The sequence below is a fragment of the Homo sapiens genome, chromosome 1, assembly GCF_000001405.40.
Source record: "Homo sapiens chromosome 1, GRCh38.p14 Primary Assembly".
NCBI classification, from domain to species: Eukaryota; Metazoa; Chordata; class Mammalia; order Primates; family Hominidae; genus Homo; species Homo sapiens.
The window spans coordinates 94,051,117-94,070,185 of record NC_000001.11 but is presented as its reverse complement, the minus strand read 5'-3'; the positions used below and the strand labels follow the sequence as shown (position 1 = coordinate 94,070,185).

At 45.5% G+C, this 19,069-nt stretch overlaps 1 protein-coding gene across 2 annotated transcripts in view, besides 2 other annotated features; it reads left to right on the top strand.

Annotated features, from left to right (window-relative positions):
- ABCA4 (ATP binding cassette subfamily A member 4) overlaps window positions 1–19,069 on the top strand; it is a 128,315-nt gene that overhangs the window by 50,963 nt on the left and 58,283 nt on the right. Inside the window, exons 12-17 of one of the 2 annotated variants that reach the window (NM_000350.3) lie at window positions 6,869–7,074; window positions 7,433–7,609; window positions 9,427–9,649; window positions 13,364–13,585; window positions 14,871–15,075; window positions 18,488–18,553. In NM_000350.3, the coding sequence (NP_000341.2) occupies window positions 6,869–7,074; window positions 7,433–7,609; window positions 9,427–9,649; window positions 13,364–13,585; window positions 14,871–15,075; window positions 18,488–18,553 (1,099 nt within the window). The remainder of the gene's footprint in view (window positions 1–6,868; window positions 7,075–7,432; window positions 7,610–9,426; window positions 9,650–13,363; window positions 13,586–14,870; window positions 15,076–18,487; window positions 18,554–19,069) is intronic. The other variant, NM_001425324.1, reaches the window with a different exon arrangement.
- Window positions 373–930: an enhancer, noted in NCBI's record as "OCT4-NANOG hESC enhancer chr1:94534812-94535369 (GRCh37/hg19 assembly coordinates)". NCBI's record gives its function as "activates a minimal SCP1, AML or CMV promoter by ChIP-STARR-seq in naive H9 embryonic stem cells {active_cell/tissue: H9 hESC(naive)}" and the evidence as "EXISTENCE:reporter gene assay evidence [ECO:0000049][PMID:30033119]".
- Window positions 1,121–2,320: an enhancer, noted in NCBI's record as "BRD4-independent group 4 enhancer chr1:94533422-94534621 (GRCh37/hg19 assembly coordinates)". NCBI's record gives its function as "activates an origin of replication core promoter dependent on BRD2, P300/CBP, MED14 and CDK7 cofactors, and independent of BRD4, by STARR-seq in HCT116 cells {active_cell/tissue: HCT116}" and the evidence as "EXISTENCE:reporter gene assay evidence [ECO:0000049][PMID:35650434]".

The following is a 19,069-nucleotide window of genomic DNA, read 5'->3' as shown; positions in this document are numbered from 1 at the left end:
GGTGTTTGTGGCCAGAATGTGGTCTGATTGGTCAGTGCCCAGCTCTGTTGATTAGCAGATGTTTTGAATATAGTAGCATCCATGTGCCCAAGTTGTTGGGATGATTCAACAAGAAACTTTAAGAGCTCAAGTGCCCTGCAGTTGTCAGCCAGGTGATTCTCTTCCTTTGGACCCAGTTAGACGCAGGCATTACCTCGTGGCTTTGCCCCAGTGTGAATCTTTGTCCTCCAACTTGATCTTTTTATTTGTTTCATTATTGTATTTAAGTTGTTTATTTTAGAGACAGACATTTTTTAACAGCTGTGCATTTCCTGTCCCTTTGTTTTCCAGTCGTCATGTGTTTCCTTACTCTCTGTGGGTGAACGTTTCAGATGTCTGTTTGCGGTGCCCAGCGTGCAAGATAAAATTTATTGCAGTGCCTTCGGCCTCTAACTCACCATTCCAACCAATTCAGATAGCCCAAGGCTGTTTTATCCAGTGGATTTTTCCATGTAGTGGGAAATAAATCTTGAATGTTACTGTTTAGATTAGCCAGGAAACTCATTCTGGGATGTTTGCCCACATCCATTGGCATTTCTCAAAAGGAACCCCAGGTGTCTACCTTGACACCAGCAGGGCCACTTGAGCCCTCCGCTGGCATTCATCGCCCGCTTTGTTCTCAGCCTGAGTTTAGGAGTTACAGATGTGAGAGGCGGGATTATACAGCCAACATCTCTAAGCGGGCAGTGGCTCCCTTACCCTCGAAGACCTCACTCCTAGCACGTCCTGGATGTATTCGTCAAAATATGTCCTCTTATGCCACGTCAGCACAGGGTTGCTCCCCACTTTGATCATCAAGTTTAAACAAAAGGAAAGATTTTCTTTCTTTCTCTGCCTCTACTGGACATCATTTCCCACCTAACAGATAATTTAATGTATCTGTTACTGAATGTGTTTGAATTACAGACAGAGAGGTCACAGTTAAAGAAGGAAGCCTGCTGCTACTGCAGCTTGTCCTCCCAAGGAGGTGTTTGATTTAGCTGTGTAAACAAATGACTGCATTCTCCAGAGGTCCTGAACACAGCTGCCTGCGCTGGAGAGGGCTCAAACCTCTTCCGCCAGGGTGAACTCTGCTTCCTGGTGAGTGCCAGCAAAACAACCAACAAAGAGCTGTAGGACTTGTGTGGACTTCAAATGGTGGTGGTCCTGCCACTTGGGCTCAGCCACAGCAGTTAGGAAACTAAAGGGGAGGAGGAAAGCCCTTTCCTTGCTTTATTGTCATTGGCTGTCATAGGGCATTACAATGGTTCTCTTTGAGATTCTGAGCTCCGGCTATAACATTTGCCCAGAATCTGCCTCTGAGGCCTTAAGACACTGTGTTTTTATTCAGCAAAGATGCCCTTTGACTCCTTTTCCCACTAGTGGTGCTAGGTTTGAGCACCTTACACTGGCCCCTTACAATAGCCAGTTCTTGTCTACCTACATTCTTCCCTAACATTCATGATTGCATAGTTACTCTTAGTGTAGAAGCAGACAGCTTTTACACATAGACTCCATGGCCGTAGCCTCATAGAACCTACTATATTCTAACTTGCAAGCTAATCAGACCAAATATATCAAAATCAAAAACCTCTGCTGAGAGTTTATTCATTCATCTCTGTCTCCCAAACGTACTTATGTACATACGTGCACTAATATACATGTCCATTAGCCAAGATTTTGATTTCAGGGATCAAAGCAAGTACCAATAGGGAATGAGGTCACTTGCTGCATGGCAGGTGGCTTCCCCATGAGAATGCAAGGCCACCTCATGACTCATACTTCAGAGGGTGACCCAGGAACTTCTGATTCATGTCCAAAGCAGCTTCTACAATTGCTCTACCTTGATCTAGGGAAGATGTGGGGAGGATGACATTCGGGATTAGCTTTATAAGGCCTTCCTGTGGGCAGAGTTGTCTGACTTTCACCTAGTGATCAACAAGCAGCTAGCAAGCATCAGTGTGTGAGGCCCCACGCCCTCTCAGCTCCCCTACTGCCCACCTGGGACATGGGCTTTGGCATCTGTCCATAGCATTGTTCTAACCAAATGAGGTGTTATGGATCAGCTCAGGATGGGATATGTTCCCAGACATATTATTTAAAGAAAATAGCTCCCTTCCTCCCCTGATAAACAGCTGCCATGGCTAAAAGGTAACCTGGCTGGGGCTTAAAAGTCTGTTGACTTTCAAGATATTTTGCAAAAACAGTCATAAAAATGGTATTTATCAGATCCTAACTATTTGTGAGACGGTTTGGTATACCATAGTGGTTAAAAACACAGGCTCTTTCCAGAGGAGGTTTACTTTGCTTAGTCGTGTCTCCTAAGTGAACTTGGACCTCATAAGGTTGTTGTGAGAATGAAATGGGTGAATATGAGTAAAGTCCTTGGACCAGTTTTGGCCGTATAGTAAGCCTTCAGCAAGCATCTGCTTTTATTCCTACAGGGAGGCAATTGTAAGCCCTTCACAAACAGCGTCTAATGTGATCCTTAGAACAAACCTATGAGATAGGGCATATCTCAATTTTGTAGGTAGGGAAACAGAAGCCACACAATTAGGAAATGGCAACAGATCTGTTAGACTCTTAAACACTATGCTACACCAATTTGCAAGGCAAGGAAGACAAAGCACCTTTGAAAATGGGTCAGATGTTTTAGGGTAAATGAACGTTTGAGAATCTTTTAAGTTTTTTTTCCCCCAGAGATTATCAAGGTATCATTGTAGGGGGATGCATCAGGAAACATGACTATGAATCAGCTGCCTGATAAACCAGCCAGGATGGAGCCCACGTCATCACAGCAGTCAGCAATGCCACTGAAAAACATCAGCTGCTTATTCCCGTATAGATTTCCCCTTAAGACATGAAAAGGGAGTTCAAAGAGAATGGGCCAGATATCTCTGAGAGTCATATTACTAAAATATATTTATTTTTACTAGCTTTTTTGTTTTAAGAGGTATACTGTCATTAGCACTGTAGCAAAAATTCACGTTTTATTAATTTCTCCTAGTTTATCATGTGATTCTAGGGTAGGATGCAGAGTTATATTCAAAATACACAAATCAACTCAACTCAGTAAACATATATCGAGGCCCTATCATGACAAAATGCTATTCTAGAGACCACGGCGAACAAGCCACGGCCCCAGCCTCAAAGAATGTACTATCTTTGGAACTGTGCTGGCCAATACAGTAACCAGCAGCCACGCAGGGCTATTTAAATTTAAATTAATTAAAAGTAAAAACACAATGCCTCAGATGCATTAGCCACATTTTAAGTGTTCAATAGATATTTGTGGCTCCTGCCTGCCATATTGGACAGGGCAGATATAGAACAATTCCATCACTGCAGAAAGTTCTACTGAACAATGCTGCTCTGGAGCAGAAGATCTTCTTGTTCAGGGATGTTACACCCCCGCTTGTGGCTAGAGTGTGGCTTATCCTCAGAGCAAGGATAGGGGAACCATGGCACTCTGCAGGCTCAGCACTGAAGACACGGATGCAGGCTCTGCTTCTGACCTAGATTGACCTTGGGCAAGGCCCTTTGCTCCTCTGATCCCAATTTCTTCACCAGCCAAGTAAGAACATCAGACCACAAGCCCTCTAGGGCTCTGTCCAAATGCCCCATGACTGAGTGAACTGGTAGAACATTCTATGTGTGTGTCACAACATGAAGAGCAAAGACTTTCATCTCCCCAAATAATTTTGTTTTTCGTTTTAGGAATTAAATTTCAGATTCACTCTAATTGCCAATACTAAAATTCTCTATATGCAGTTCTAAACTTGACAAACCAATAAAAAAAGATTATTTGACTACTTATCTTTGTACAACATTGAGGTCTCCCTAAAGCAAATTTAAATGCATATTTTAAAAATGTATTCTAGCAGTTCAGTTCAGAAGCCCCCTGGCCCAAGCATCACACTGTCAATCCTTTGTCCTCAAGCAGCATGGTTGGGTGGGTTAAGTACTGACAAACACTGGGTGTCAGGCCCATGGTCAGGGACTGTGCTAACAGTCTACATATTAGATGCCACCTACCCCCACCCTCAACAGACCCAAACTATTTATCCAATAGCAAACCTTGCATTATTTCTGTCCAGAAGAAACAAACATTTATTGACAACTTTTGGTGTGTGACCTGTTTAAGTCCTACATCTCATTTAAGGACTGGTCAATGTTAGGCTAGGCAATGCCTGTTTGTGAGAGAATCACTGCCTAAAGAAAATTCTCCATTTCCCTTAGCTCTATGGTGGGTGACTACACATACTGGTATTTCTTAAAGAAATACCAATTCCATTTCCTTTTAACATAATTATTAATATCTCATTAGCATGGTGTCACTGAAGCCTGGGCCCAAAGAAATACCAATTCCATATCATTTTAAGATCATTATTAATATCTCATCAGCGTGGTGTCACTTAAGCCTGGGCCCTTTAGAATTTTTCATGTACCTGTGTTCCTCTGCCCATATCAGCTGGAACACTAATAGTTTTCTTCCTTTTTATCTAGAAGACTGAGAACATTACATGGGACCTGCCCCCAGGGCATGGAGGCTGAGGTGGGACAGTTTAGTTCAGGAGGCCCAAGAAGTGTTGGGTGTGCAGCCCCTTGTTCAAACACAGCCTCTGAATCGCCAGAGGCTTCCGGTGCATACTCTGAGGCGCAGGTGGGACTCGGGAGTGAGAGGTTTCGGCGAATGAATTGGGATTGCCTACTTCTTCCCAGTGCAGTGGAGCTTGGTTCTGTGGTCAGGTCCTTACGCCCTGTCTGCCTTTCTCGTTTCTTTATTTCTCGGGTAGTAGTTGTGGAATCAAATGACCTGGGGTTTGATACCTACTCTACCACGCCTCTGGGGGAGTCACTCAGACTCGTTGAACCTAAGTTCCGGGGCTGCCAAGTGAGGATAAGTAGTAATTGCTGATCCACCTACTTGACAAGATAGTAGTGAGGGCCCTGAGCGCCAGGCTGTGGATCCAGCCTTTCCCACGGTTCCTGGTGTGGCAGGAAGAACTCTAGGCCTGAAGGTGAAATTGGGGAGGGAGTCCCAGCTCTGCCACTGTCTCTCTGGGTGACCTCAGGCAGGTCTCCTCAAAAAAATAAGATACTTTATAAAGCTCAGTTTCCTCTTCAGTAAAATGAGGATTCCAGGTAACTCACAGATAGTTTGTGGGGATGAATCTGTTCCTTAAAGCCTGCAGTACATCAATAACCCAGTCTTCCTGCTTGCTTTCCCCCCTCTCCACTACCAGTGATCATAGTCTGATCCCATAGGTGATATCCCAGCTCAAAACCCTACATTAGCTTCTGTGGCTGTTTAAGGCCTGCCCAGAACTCCCCTGGTCTTAGCACTGAAAGCACGTGTCCGGGGAAGCCCTGCATTGGTCGTTCATACTACTGAGTCCCGCAGGGCAAACCGTCCGGTCCCACCCTCCTTTCTAGTGCTGCTGTCACACTCACCTCCCTTCACCCTACACTCCCTTCTGTGCCTTGCAATTACCTAGGGAGTTTTTTACAAGATATGGATGCCCTGGCCCTGCCACTAGAGATTCTGATTTAATTGCTTGGGGTAGGGCCTGGCATAGGTATCTTTTAAAGCTCCGCAGTGGTTCTAAAGCACAGCCACAGATGGGAACCACTGATCTATTCTTGTAGGTCCCCAGATACCTCATGTGCTGTTCCCTGTGCCTGAGCTGACCTTTCCCCCACTTTCCTCTCCTCGGCTAATTCCTGCTTATCCTCCTACTCAGGAGGCTCTTCCTCCAGGCAGCCTTCCCTGATCCCTCCAGGAAGACTTAGCTGCGTCCCTCCGCTGGGCTTCCCCAATACACTGGGCTTGCTTTCATTAGAACCTGATCCTTCCACATTATGGTTGTTGGTTTGCTCCAATCCTCTCCCTCATTAGCTCTCAACTTTCTTTCAGGAAGAGATGTTTATCTTTCCTTCTTGTATTCCTAGAGTCGACCAGGCTCTGGCACATTGCAGATTCTCAGTATGCATTCAGGGAACAACTTAATCAAGACAAGACCATCTGACTTCTTGTGAGTTACATGCTAAGAAAGAAATGTCGACACCAATAGCCCTCACAATGATAGGAACAGGAGGTTAAAGAAAAGGAAATAGATGCAAATAGCAATATAAGTGCTTTAACAAATCTATACAGGAGGACAACCATCATATTCAAATTTTCAAACATTCTTAGTTCTGCTCTTTTGTGGGTAATGGTTTTTTTTTTTCCTCTTCCAGGAGAAGAAAAGAGGCATATTATAGAAATTCCTCCTCCCCCAGCATTACTTGTCACAGAATTGTAATTGGAAGTGATTTCCCTGACTAAGTTATTTTGGCTGTCTGTTATTTTCTCTCTTCCTCCTTGCTCTTCCCTCAGCTGGCCATCCTGTGTGTTTGGAGAGAGCCAGAAAGGTTCAAGGCTAGGAATGTTTCTCTCTCTCTTTAAAGCTCTTTAATCGTCAGGCTTTCTGATCTTCAAAGCAGGCTGTAGCCAGTGTGACCCCACTCCCTCGCCTCCCCATGCTGGAGAGTAAAAGCCTGGAGTATTTTTGTCATTTTGAAGACTTGCATATTTGGACAGCCTTGGACATCTGGAAAGTGTGGTCCTCACTAGCTCTGCAGGGATAAGAGCACGTCAGCACTTCCAAGCTCTCTGGCGCCCCTACATCTGGACACGTTGAAAAATTAACACCAGACTCTGGAGTTAAGCAAACATTAAGTTTATAGGCCTCCTTGCATTTGACCATTTCCTGGGACAGCAGCCCTTATCCTGTGACTTTCTGTGTGTAGAGTTGAGTCTTTGCAGTTGGTCCTCCTCACACTCTCTCAACTTTGTGACTCTCTGCAGTGCTTGGTCCTGGATAAGTTTGAAAGCTACAATGATGAAACTCAGCTCACCCAACGTGCCCTCTCTCTACTGGAGGAAAACATGTTCTGGGCCGGAGTGGTATTCCCTGACATGTATCCCTGGACCAGCTCTCTACCACCCCACGTGAAGTATAAGATCCGAATGGACATAGACGTGGTGGAGAAAACCAATAAGATTAAAGACAGGTGATGTTTCAGGAAGGGCTCGCTGCATTTCTCCAAAGTCAGTGGGAAATTACATTTGGTAGAGAGAAAGGGATTGAGACTGGACTCATAAATCAATAAAATTAAGTTAAATAAGAAAAAATAAGATATTTTATAAAGCTCAACAAAGAGTCCTTGAATGAAAGCAATTACAGAGTCACATTGTGGCTAATATTCAAAACTGAGATTTAAACTGAGGACTAGGAAATAGAATTGGATCCTTTTGAAGCGTTTAGGAGAAAGATTTTAAGAGAATGAGTTCCGAGTCACCCTGTGGTCGGGAGGTGTGAGTGAGCTATCCAAGCCCGTTCCCATCCTTTGTCCCTCTGTGTCTTCTCAGGTATTGGGATTCTGGTCCCAGAGCTGATCCCGTGGAAGATTTCCGGTACATCTGGGGCGGGTTTGCCTATCTGCAGGACATGGTTGAACAGGGGATCACAAGGAGCCAGGTGCAGGCGGAGGCTCCAGTTGGAATCTACCTCCAGCAGATGCCCTACCCCTGCTTCGTGGACGATTCGTGAGTCTGAAGTTCGCGATCCTCCTCCATGACACGCTAATGGGGGTGCTGGAGTGGGCTGGGGTGGGCTGGGGGTGCCCTCAAGGCTTCCATGTCTTTAGAGAGAGCCCCAGGGACCAGAGCCAAATTGGAGAGCATGGAGCTCTGACTGAGGAACCTGCTTCTCCCAAGCTCCAGGCAGGCACAGATGAGTCAGTGCAGTGGTGGGAAAGGGAAAAGAGTTGATGTTGTAGCTGGAAAAGGGAAGGGGAAAATTAAAGCAAGGAAAGTGAGGCTGGGGGAGGGGACAAATTCCCCACTATGTAGTATGTTTGGTATGTGGAAGGGTTCTGGTCAGAATGTTTGCCCAATGATTGCCACATCAGCATTCATTTTGGACTCTGTATGGCCAGTAGGTCTGGTTCCTGGGAGCCCTGGAATAATGCAGCCCCTTCCCTAACTAACATTTCCATGATGTATGCTCAATGACAAGGCAGAGGAATGTGTTGGATGAGCTCAGGACCTGCCTCCCTGGACACTCCCATCCCAGGCCTGTATATCTGTTGACCAGGAATAAGCCAAGCAAGCAGCCTACTGTTTGACTGAATATGGATTTGGGGGGTGGTAGAGAAAGGGCCGGGGTGGAGGGTTGGGAGGCTCATTTGTCATTATAGATGGGGTCAGACACACTACCAAAACAGCAGCAGAGATCTACAATTGAGTTCACCTAAAACTCAGTGTGGACACAGGAAACCCTCTTTTAATAACTGTCCAATGGGTTTTCCAGCCTCAGCTCTACAGAAAACTTGAGATAACAGTGGCCAGTCTGCAGTTAGTTTGGGTTCGGACAATAGGCAGAGCTGGGAAATGGAGCCAGGGGCGAAAGCCCAGGTCCACTTTAGGATCAGGACGGGAGTGGCTGGTGGGGAAGTGAGGTGGGTGTGGGGAGGCAATAGGGAGCTGGGTCATTTGGTATGGGAGAGTCCTCTGGTGGCTAGTCCCAGAAGTGCATGCTTTACGAACATATGCTTCTCTCCCTAGGGCCACCTTGAGTGAAACCCTCCCATGCTGGAATTGGGCCCTTTCAGTGACAACACACAACAGTTTTCAATAGATAATAATCCCAAGGGCTTTACTAGCACATGAAACACAGGGAAAACGTGTAAAGTTCACAAGAAAGTCGTTCCAGTGTATCAAATCTATCCTGTTTGCCAGGTGGATATACCAGGGTCTCCTCCACCTGTGCATGGCTGGTGGTGGGTCCAGTGGCTGTTGGATAACTGATGTATTGATGGATCATTCGCCTTCTGAAAGTGCCAAACTGATTAGTTATTTTGTGTGTCTTTTTGTGTAACTAGGGTTTGACCTTCCAGGGCAGACTGTGCTGGGGCGGCTGACCCCTTGGGGAGCCAAGTTATTGCTCTTACCACCACCACTTGCCCTTGTCAGTCCTCCACCCTCTTGGGTTTCAGTGTCAGCATGTAGCTGTCTACTCAGATCCCATCCACATCATCAAGTCTGCAGTTTTTTCCTTGCAAGGCCTTACAGGGAAGATCTTTGACATAGAGGATATAATTTTATTGACACATTTTACTTGCAGAGCATTCACCCGGGCTAACCAGAAAGCCAGCACTCTGCTATAAACAAAAAATAATGCTTCAGGGCTAACATGGAATGTGTTAAAAGATTCCAGCCCATTAAATGTCCAGGGGAGGTTTTCCTGTTTTCCTTTCCCTCCATCTGGGCTTTGTTCTCAACACATTCATTCAACAAACATTTATTCTGCCTCTACCAGGTACAGAGCACTCTACTATTCTGCTTCTCTCCTTTTGCTTTAGTTTCATGATCATCCTGAACCGCTGTTTCCCTATCTTCATGGTGCTGGCATGGATCTACTCTGTCTCCATGACTGTGAAGAGCATCGTCTTGGAGAAGGAGTTGCGACTGAAGGAGACCTTGAAAAATCAGGGTGTCTCCAATGCAGTGATTTGGTGTACCTGGTTCCTGGACAGCTTCTCCATCATGTCGATGAGCATCTTCCTCCTGACGATATTCATCATGGTAAGCCAAATGGAGAAGGCCCAGAAAATCTTGAATACTTTGGTTCCTTTCCCCTTTCCTCCTGTTCATGTGCCTGGATTAGTCATGTGGCCACCAAGGAGAGCGTGACATCTAGCTTCCCAGCCCTTCCTTTTAGCCAACGTGGGAGACACTCAAAGAGACGAAATCTCCTGAAGGAGCCACTGTATCACAGCATCCTCCCATCTCCCACTTCCTGCCCAGGGGTCCATGGTCCACACAGACTTCCCAGTCCCATTCCGTGACCATCTGGAGAAGCTGCTATTAGCAGAGCCCTGCACAGGGTGATAGTGTAATTAAAGTGGTCTTCTCTTTCCAAACACAGAAAAAATCAGTTCAGGGAGTGTTTTCCTGGGCTTACAATTTTAACTACTGGCTAGAGTTGAAATGGGGAAAGCCTTTTGCCTTTTCAGTAGCAGTAGGGGAGGAGATCTGGATTATTTACTTATCATCATCATGGTCACCTCCTACATGGCTTCACCAAAAAACATTCTGCTGCCTGAAAAAGCTCCAACACCTCTCTCTCTTTTAAAGGATGGAATTTGGAGTCCATCCTTCCTCAGTGATAAGGAGTTTTTATAGCCACAGGCAGCATCTATTGGTCTGTCCTCTGCAAACTTGCAACTCCTCTGAGAGCTAGACTTGGAAATGAAACATTATTTTGCAATGCGCTGCTATCCTTCATTTTTAGCTCCTCCACCGTAGATGATAGTTTGTACTTGTTAAATGATAAGGATATAAATTTAGGTCATTTTTTATATTTTATTGGGTGGAATTTGGTATAATTTTTAGACTTCAGGCTTTACAGGCTCCTGAGATGGACTGATTGAGCTTGTTCTACTTCTTCCCCATCATGATAGGAAGTGCTGTACCACACTAGGCAGTGTGTGTAGTGACCACAGACTGGCTGAGTGTCTCCCATCCCATGCTGGCCCATATCTGGTACCCACCTGATCCACAAATGTTCCATCAGATCCTGTTCAAACAACACATCTCCAGTTAAGCCAAATCTTGCCCTTTCTCCTTACGGTAAAATGTACTAAATCTGAAGGTTTTGTCTTTTTAATGTTGCTCCATGATCCAGTGATCTGTGGCCTTGGTTATGCTCTGTGCTAGAGTCCTAACAAGACAAATGCTAAGGTAGAGGTCATTCTGCTCAAACAACCTGACCCCACCTGGATGTGGGCTTACATTTGCAAAGGGCACCAAAGTTCTAAGAGATGAGGGGAGGAGCTGAGCCCCTTGTCCTTATCTAGGTTTCCCTTGTTCTTTCCCATCCCTCAGTCTGCTTCTTTTCCCAGTACCAACATGTTTGTGTCCTCAGAATTAAAGGAGTAAAAATGTGTAAACATCTGACTAGCAACAGCCATGAGATTTTGCCTGGCTTGTTGATAAGCAGCATTGAGATCTGCCCTCCTAAGAATGGGCCATTAGGTCTTCAAAGCTTTTACGATGTGAGGTAAAGAATGTTCACCAGGAGTTTCATGCACAAAAGGGTTTCTCTTTGTGGGAACTAGAACATTGTTCCAGTGATGACGGAAACAGGGCTTTCCATACCAAAACAGGGTTTTCCTTTGAATGACTCTCCCACCTTTCCCTTGTCTCTTCCTCCCCACCTCAACAACACAGGAAAGAAGCTGGAAGCAGGGACAATGGGAAGGTCCCTTTGTTACTCGAGCTATTAGAAACAAAAAGAAAAGTGGCCATCTGAGGAAGCCACAGCTGGTGAAACTGTAGGGTCACAGAGTGAATTACACCTCTGGCTTAAGTCAGTGAAAAGTCCTAGAAGTTTGTGGTCCTAGAAGTCCTAAAAGTTTATGGGACTTTGTTTTGAGCAAGGATAAGAAATTGATTTCAGGCTGGGCGTGGTGGCTCACGCCTGTAACCCTAATACTTTGGGAGACAGAGGCAGGTGGATCACTTCAGGTCAGGAGTTCCAGAGCAGTCTGGCCAACATGGCGAAACCCTGCCTCTCCTAAAAATACAAAAATTAGCCAGGTGCGGTGGCACATGCCTGTAGTCCCGGCTACTCAGGAGACTGAGCAAGGAGAATCCCTTGAACCCAGGAGGTGGAGGTCTCAGTGAGCTGATATCATATCACTGCACTCTAGCCTGGGCAACAGAGCAAGACTCTGTCTAAAAAAATAAATAAATAAAAAAGAAATTGATTTCATTCTTCTGAGAACTGCAACAACTACCTTAAAGTGATTCCATCCAAAACCCACATGTTCAGCCATGGACTTGCTTTTATGGAGCTGCGTGTGGGTGACACACAAAATCAGGAGCTCTGAGTCCTAATTTAGACTTTTATTTAGATTTCCTCAAATTTGGGTTCCAGTTAAGCGTGGGTCTCTTCTGTGCCCCGCTCCCCTTTGCCATTTGTTTTATCTGTTCTTCAGTCTGTTCTGTCAGTACCCACAGGCAGGAGAGCAGAAAGGAGAAATGGCAGCCACAGCAGACAAATGGCACATTCGTTCCACTCAGCTCTCGCATGCCCATCACAGATACAGCTCATTGGTCTCTTTTCTATGAGAGGAAGCCAGAGCTCCAGGGAACTACTGCCAACTGATCAGAACTCATTTAGGACATGGACCTATTTGTTCCTTTATGTTCCTGGGAAGAGCACAGGATGAATTCTATGTACTCATTTACGTGTTCAGAGAGTAAAGTGCCTCATAGGATGCCTCCAGCAAAAGATAACCAAGAAGGTCTAATACCTTTGACAATCTCAGTTTATCCTATAGTGTAATTGGATAGCAGTTCCCCTAGCAAAAGTTGCTAGTTTGGTCCTATTTTCTACATAGCCAAAGTGATTGATTCATTGGTTAATGTGAAAGTTACTGAGTACTGCCAGCAGGTTCTAGGAAATATATTTGTGTGATATTCATGGATGGGGAGGATCAATCCACTTCCAAGTGATTTGGATTAATTACTGGTATTTTCACCTGTGTGGGTAGCAAACCTCAGAAAATCAAGTATAGATGACGGCATAGGACAGGCCAGGCCCCAGGCAAAATGTTGAAGCTCCTCTGGAGTTCCCTCCCATCTCCCTCTTTTGTTTTCCATATACCTGGTTTATCCAGGGCCCTGGAGATGCTCCAAGACCCCCTACCCAGGTCTTCCTCCCTTGTCCCAGCTATATTTCTCCATATTACCACTCTTCTCACCGAGGATTTGCTTACTTAACACATAATAAATACTATTAAAAGAGAAACTTAGGCACATTAAAATGTTAGAGTTGATTCCAGCAAACAGTGATTCACAGGAGGCTCCAGATCACAAGTGGTTCAGGGCCCCACTGAGGGGTAGGGAAGCAAGACAAAGAAAAACAAAGCAAATATTTGATTGGTTCAAGTGGAAAGTCCCTGATTACAGGTTAGTGGGCAGTTTGTGATTAGTTAAGTTTCTCTAAGTTGGGTTTTGGTTTGCTGATGTAGGAACACAGAATGCTGGGGCCGTTTCAACCTAATGGTCTCCCAATTAATTTTTTTAACATTACTGATGACTGTTAGGAGTCTAATGTGCTACTCCTCCCAGGGAAAATGGCATTCCTAGGATTAAAGGAACTCAGCACATGGAGTGTGCGTAGAAATTTAGACACTAACTGCAGGCTGGTGGGAGAGAGCCCTTTAGGGCAGAATGAGAAGGCGTCCGGCCAAGGGCAGGAGTTACTGACGCATGGCCTCTTGGTTTCAGCATGGAAGAATCCTACATTACAGCGACCCATTCATCCTCTTCCTGTTCTTGTTGGCTTTCTCCACTGCCACCATCATGCTGTGCTTTCTGCTCAGCACCTTCTTCTCCAAGGCCAGTCTGGCAGCAGCCTGTAGTGGTGTCATCTATTTCACCCTCTACCTGCCACACATCCTGTGCTTCGCCTGGCAGGACCGCATGACCGCTGAGCTGAAGAAGGCTGTGGTGAGGCCCTTGGGCTGGCCCCTGTCCTACAACACGTTTCCTTGGAAGGGTCCGTAGCAGTCCTGGAGGCCCAGCCTGCCCTCTGAGGGGGTCCACTTTGCCTTTGACCTAAGGTTAAAAAGTTCACGTGAGGCTAAAATGTACAGGGGCAAAAGTGGGAGCAGTCCTCACCCCGAGCGATGCAACAGTGACTCCTCACCACGCCTGCTTGATTCATCTGCCCTGGAAAGTCATTAAAAAACCAGTTCAACTCATGGGTCCCTTTATTTACTCACAAGAGAGAGCCAGCAGCCCATTTCACTAGTTTTCCTTTCCTACTCTTTGAGAAGAATCAGAAGGGAGGGAGCTTGCCACTTTACTATCTGTCTAAAGAGATGTTTCCATTAATTAAAGGTTTTTGTTTTGCTTCAAAAAAACTTGAATTGGAGTATTTCCACAAGTATCTTTAACATGCTCTACCAATGTTTGCAGAAAGAAGTGCAGAAATGAGACTGTCCACAGAGTCAGGCTCGCTGGCCAGGAGAGGACTCCCGAAGCTGACTTCTGATGGCCTGAGAAACTTCCTAGTTCACAATTCCCAGACCCAGACAAAGAGCACTGTCTTTTCTCTAATTGTTTTCAAATGGGCCATTTCCACCCTCTAATCAGCCTCTGGCCCTGGAGGGTGCAGTTCCCCTTGTCCTCCGGAGTCTCCCTGTCTCTGTGCTGTAGAGTCAAGAAGGGACAACCACCTGCCCTCACTGGGAAAAGACAGAAAGTCTGACTTGTTCTCACGACTCACACTTATTAGGCTCCAGAGGTGTCAGGGCATCTGCCTTTCATTTCTTAGGTTAAATAAGAAATCAATTGCTGCCATTTGTAGTACCCAATTTTCTAAAATGATCACAATGGATAAGTGGCAAGAAATCCTTATGACTCATCTGTGGGCAGAGTTGGGCTATTTTGGTAATCCTTGAGTAGGCAGATGGAATTTGAGGCCATCTTCTTGGGTACATAGATCACTAGGAAGCTATAGGTCTAGCAACTGTGGATTAGGGCTGGGCTGAGAATTGTTTCATGTTTTTTGTGACTGTATAGCTAGAGACTCTCTTGTTTGCAGAGAGACACTCTGAACTCCCCCTGGCCGTCAAGGGAAAGACTGCCTTCACCCTCCTGAGCTGACCTTACACTGAGAGACAATGGGGACCCTCTTTTGGCCCTCCCCTCTACCTCGAGGGCATCTGGGTGCTGTTGCATTGGATAAAAGGCACTGCTCTTTTTCTGTGCCCTCTCCGCCTCACTGCAGAGCTTACTGTCTCCGGTGGCATTTGGATTTGGCACTGAGTACCTGGTTCGCTTTGAAGAGCAAGGCCTGGGGCTGCAGTGGAGCAACATCGGGAACAGTCCCACGGAAGGGGACGAATTCAGCTTCCTGCTGTCCATGCAGATGATGCTCCTTGATGCTGCTGTCTATGGCTTACTCGCTTGGTACCTTGATCAGGTGTTTCCAGGTAAGCATCCTCCTCTATAGGGTAAAGGTAATTGAGTTCTTCAGATCCCCAGCCCTCTCCATTCATCTAGTTTAAATTTCATTTCTTCCAAGCTCTTTGTCAGAACCAGCATTTGAAGTTTAAATCTAGAAGTTAAAAATCCACCAGCAAATCCTACTGGCTCTACTTGAGAAACAAATCCAGAATCTGATCTCTTGTCACCACCTCCACCACAACCTTCCCAATGCCAGTCTCTTCCTTCCACTACCACCTCCCATCAGTCCATTCTGCACACTGTATTCAGGGAGATCCTTTCAGAATCAAGGTCATGTGGTGTCAGCCCTCTCTGTCAAATGCTTGCACTGGCTTTTCCTCTCTTTCAGAGTAAAACCCAGTGTCTCAACCCTGGCCTCCAAGCTGCTTCATTATCCGGCCTCCAACTCTCTTCTTCATCTTACGATTTTCCCTACTCCTCCATGTTCCTCTGCTCCAGCCACGTCGGCCTCCTTACTGACTGTTTAATACACCGAGCGCATTTCCTCTTCAGGGCCTTTCCACCTGCTGTTCTCATGCCAGAAGCACATTTCTCTCCCCACAACCTGCAACCCGCCCCTCATATCTGCAGGCTTGCTTCCTTACTTTGTTAAGGTCTCTGTTCAAATGTCCCATTATCACAGGGATCTTTCCAGACTGAAGAGATCTACATAACTATGGCTCTGTAAACAACATTCCTCCAGGGTTCCTGTCCCCTTACCCTACTTTATTTTGGGGAACATTCTTCACCATCTGATACAATGATGTATCTTATGCATGTATTTACTGACTCTCTGCCCTTAGTAGAATATGAGCCCAGAGAGCATGCATGTGGTCTATTTTGTTAACTGTGACAGTCCCAGTGCCCAGAATAGTGCCTGACCTTTGGTGGGCACTGAATAAATATCTAAGTAATCTGTAGCATGGAAAATCAGCTTCTGAAAATTGGCTGTTTGCACGGTCGTGTATTTGCTTGGTAGAAAATCAAATTTTCCTTCAAATTAGCATTTTCTGGTAACTAGAGCTGCCCCATCTTCCTCTGAGTGGTCTCCAAGTCAGCCAATAGCCTTGTGCTGTGGCAGCCATGCCTGGCTCTTGATGCTGTAGCCAAAAGCAGGCAGGGGATGGTGAGGCTGGTCCAGTCCATGGGGAGGGACAAACTCACAGCTCTCAGATCATCTCAGGGCAGCCTTTGTTGGCAGAAATAGGTAGGCAGCCACCCTGAATAGGAGGAAGGCTTCTAGACTGGGTCAGGAGGCCTGGGTTTGCATCCTAGTGGCAAGCGTGCATTCATTTACTAGGGCTGCCATAACAAAATACCACTAACTGGGCAGCTTAGACAACAGCCATTTATATCTCACAGCTCTGAAGGCTGGAAGTCCAAAATCAAGGTGTTGGCAGGGCCATGCTCCCTCTGAAACCTGTAGGTGCTTGGGCACTCCTTGACTTGTAGATGCTTCCTGCTGATCCTTCGTCTGCACATGGCATTCTGCCTGTCTTACATGGCCATCTTATAAGGATACCAACTGGATTGGATTAGGTGCCTACCTTGCTCCCATGTGACCTCATCTCAACTAATCACATCTGCAATGACCCTGTTCCTAAACAAGGCCACATTATGAGGTACCTGGGGTTAGCACTCTGGTATCTTTTTTCTTGACAGCACTTCTGACACCAAATGTGTGTTTTGGTTTTTTGTTGTTGTTGTTTTGGCACCAACCAATTCTCCTATATTAATGGGTTGTCCAAGAATTCAATTGAATTCTGACACTATCCAGAATTCACACAGACTCCACGGGTTCAGTCCCACAAGGCTTCCCCGTCTTCAGATGCCAGCTGGAAATGTGGTGCCCAGGCTACCCACACTTTTGCCAAAATCCTGTACTTACAATCACAGCTTTAAAATGAAGGATGCAGCTCAGGAACTGCCACATGGAAGAGAAGCACAGTATGGGGTCGGGGGAAGAGTTTCTATGCTCTCTCTAGACGCACCACTCTCCCAGCACCTCAAAGTGTTCAGCAACCCAAAAGCTCTCCAAATCTTGTTGTTCGAGAGTTTTTATAACCCTATCTCCAGCTCCATACTCCCCCATTGGAGGTTGAGGGTTGGGACTGAAAGTTCCATTCTTCACATGTGTGGTGTTTCTGGTGACCAGTCCCCAGAAACTGCAGCTATCTTGGGGCTCTACCCTGAGTCACATCATTAGCATAAACTCAGATGTGGTAGAGGAAGGGGCTTATTATGAATAAAAAAAGACACTCCTTTCTGCCAGGAAATTCCAAGGGTTTTAGGAGATCTGTGCCCTGCACAGGAGCTGGGGACAAAGACCAAGTATATTTTGTGTTATGCCACAGACCCCAACATGTCTTTTTGGAGGGAGACCAAATTCAACCCATGACAGTGACTTTGAACAAGACATTTGAACTTAGTCTGTTTTTTCTATCCTACTAGATTGTTGGAAACAGATATAATAGATGAAAATTAGTTGATTAAAATTGAAATTTGTGCATAATTCAAAAGTTTTATTTTAGCCAAGCTAAAGCTTTCATTTATTCAACAGCTATTTACTGAGCAGCACCTGTGCATGAGGCTCAGCAGGGCCAGGTTCTGGGAACAGAGCGGTGGAGATAAAGATCCAGACCTGCCCCGAGGAATAGACAGTCCAGTGGCAGCAAAGGCCATGAAACATACGGCAACTCTTAAAAAAAGCCGAGACCATGATTTTACAAAATCAACATTTTGTAGGGAGCAGAACTTTCAAAGAGAACTGGACTAGAAATTTGGGAGTCTTTTTCTTGGAACCCTGGTAGATCCAGTAGAATGAGGGATGGGGGTGTAGGGTTAAAAACACTGACATTAGAACTGGATTACCTGTGTTGGAATTCCTACATTTCTGTTTCACTATCTGTGACGGGGGGCAGATGGCTGAATCTCAGTGTGCCTCTGTTTCCTTTCTCACAAGAATAATATTACTACCTATCTCCTGGGGTTGTTTTGAGGTTTAGATTATTTAACACATGGAAAGCACTCACAGCAATGCCTGCCACAGAAAGAATATCCAGTACATCTTAGTGATGATCACCATTATTATTATCTGACTCCTGGAAAAGGACTTGATTTAATTCTCTCATGAAACGTTTTCTTGGAAAACTGATGTCAACCAAGATTATTGGTCTTGCTGTTGCTTATAACACCCCAAAAACATGACTGTGTGGATAAAAATATGTTGGAAGGGGTAGTCTTTCTGGGAGCCTGAGAATAGCCATGTAATAATAACTGCAAATATCTATAGTTACAATTTGAGGTTCAGGTAAATAAACTCTAGATCTTATAGAACTGCGGTAAGGTAGGATAGGGAGACTCCTTCGACTTTCTCTGTTTATTTGTCTCTATTTTTAGGAGACTATGGAACCCCACTTCCTTGGTACTTTCTTCTACAAGAGTCGTATTGGCTTGGCGGTGAAGGTGAGTCCTTTAAAACACAAATCTTAATGTTTGAAATCAACTCCTTGGGCTCTGTGCAAGATGTATATGGATCACAGAGGTGGCCCTCTATGTAAACGGTGTGATTCCTGATGAGTCAGCTGCCTCCTGGGGCTCTGCCCCTTGATGGGCATTGCAGCGTCTGGGGGACCACCTTTCACAAGTTGCTGGGCCCTGTGTGATCATGAATGGCTGATCATGGATGAAGCCCTGGGTCCTGTACACCTTGTCCAGTAGACTAAATTGCCCTATTTAAAAAAGGCCAAGCCACTTCAGGGTTCAAAGAACTTTTGCAGCTTTTCAGTATAAAGCAGAAATCCAGGGAATCATGAAGGAACCTTTGCATTCATCTCCCATTGCCTTCCTTGTGCCTTTTTATTCTTCTCTGCCTTTTCAAAATATAAATTAGTTTATTCTCCCAAGATGAAGACTCCTCCTGGGGCTGAGGCAGAGCTGTTATCTTCAGGGCAATACCTCAGATTCTCCTGGTGTTGATCT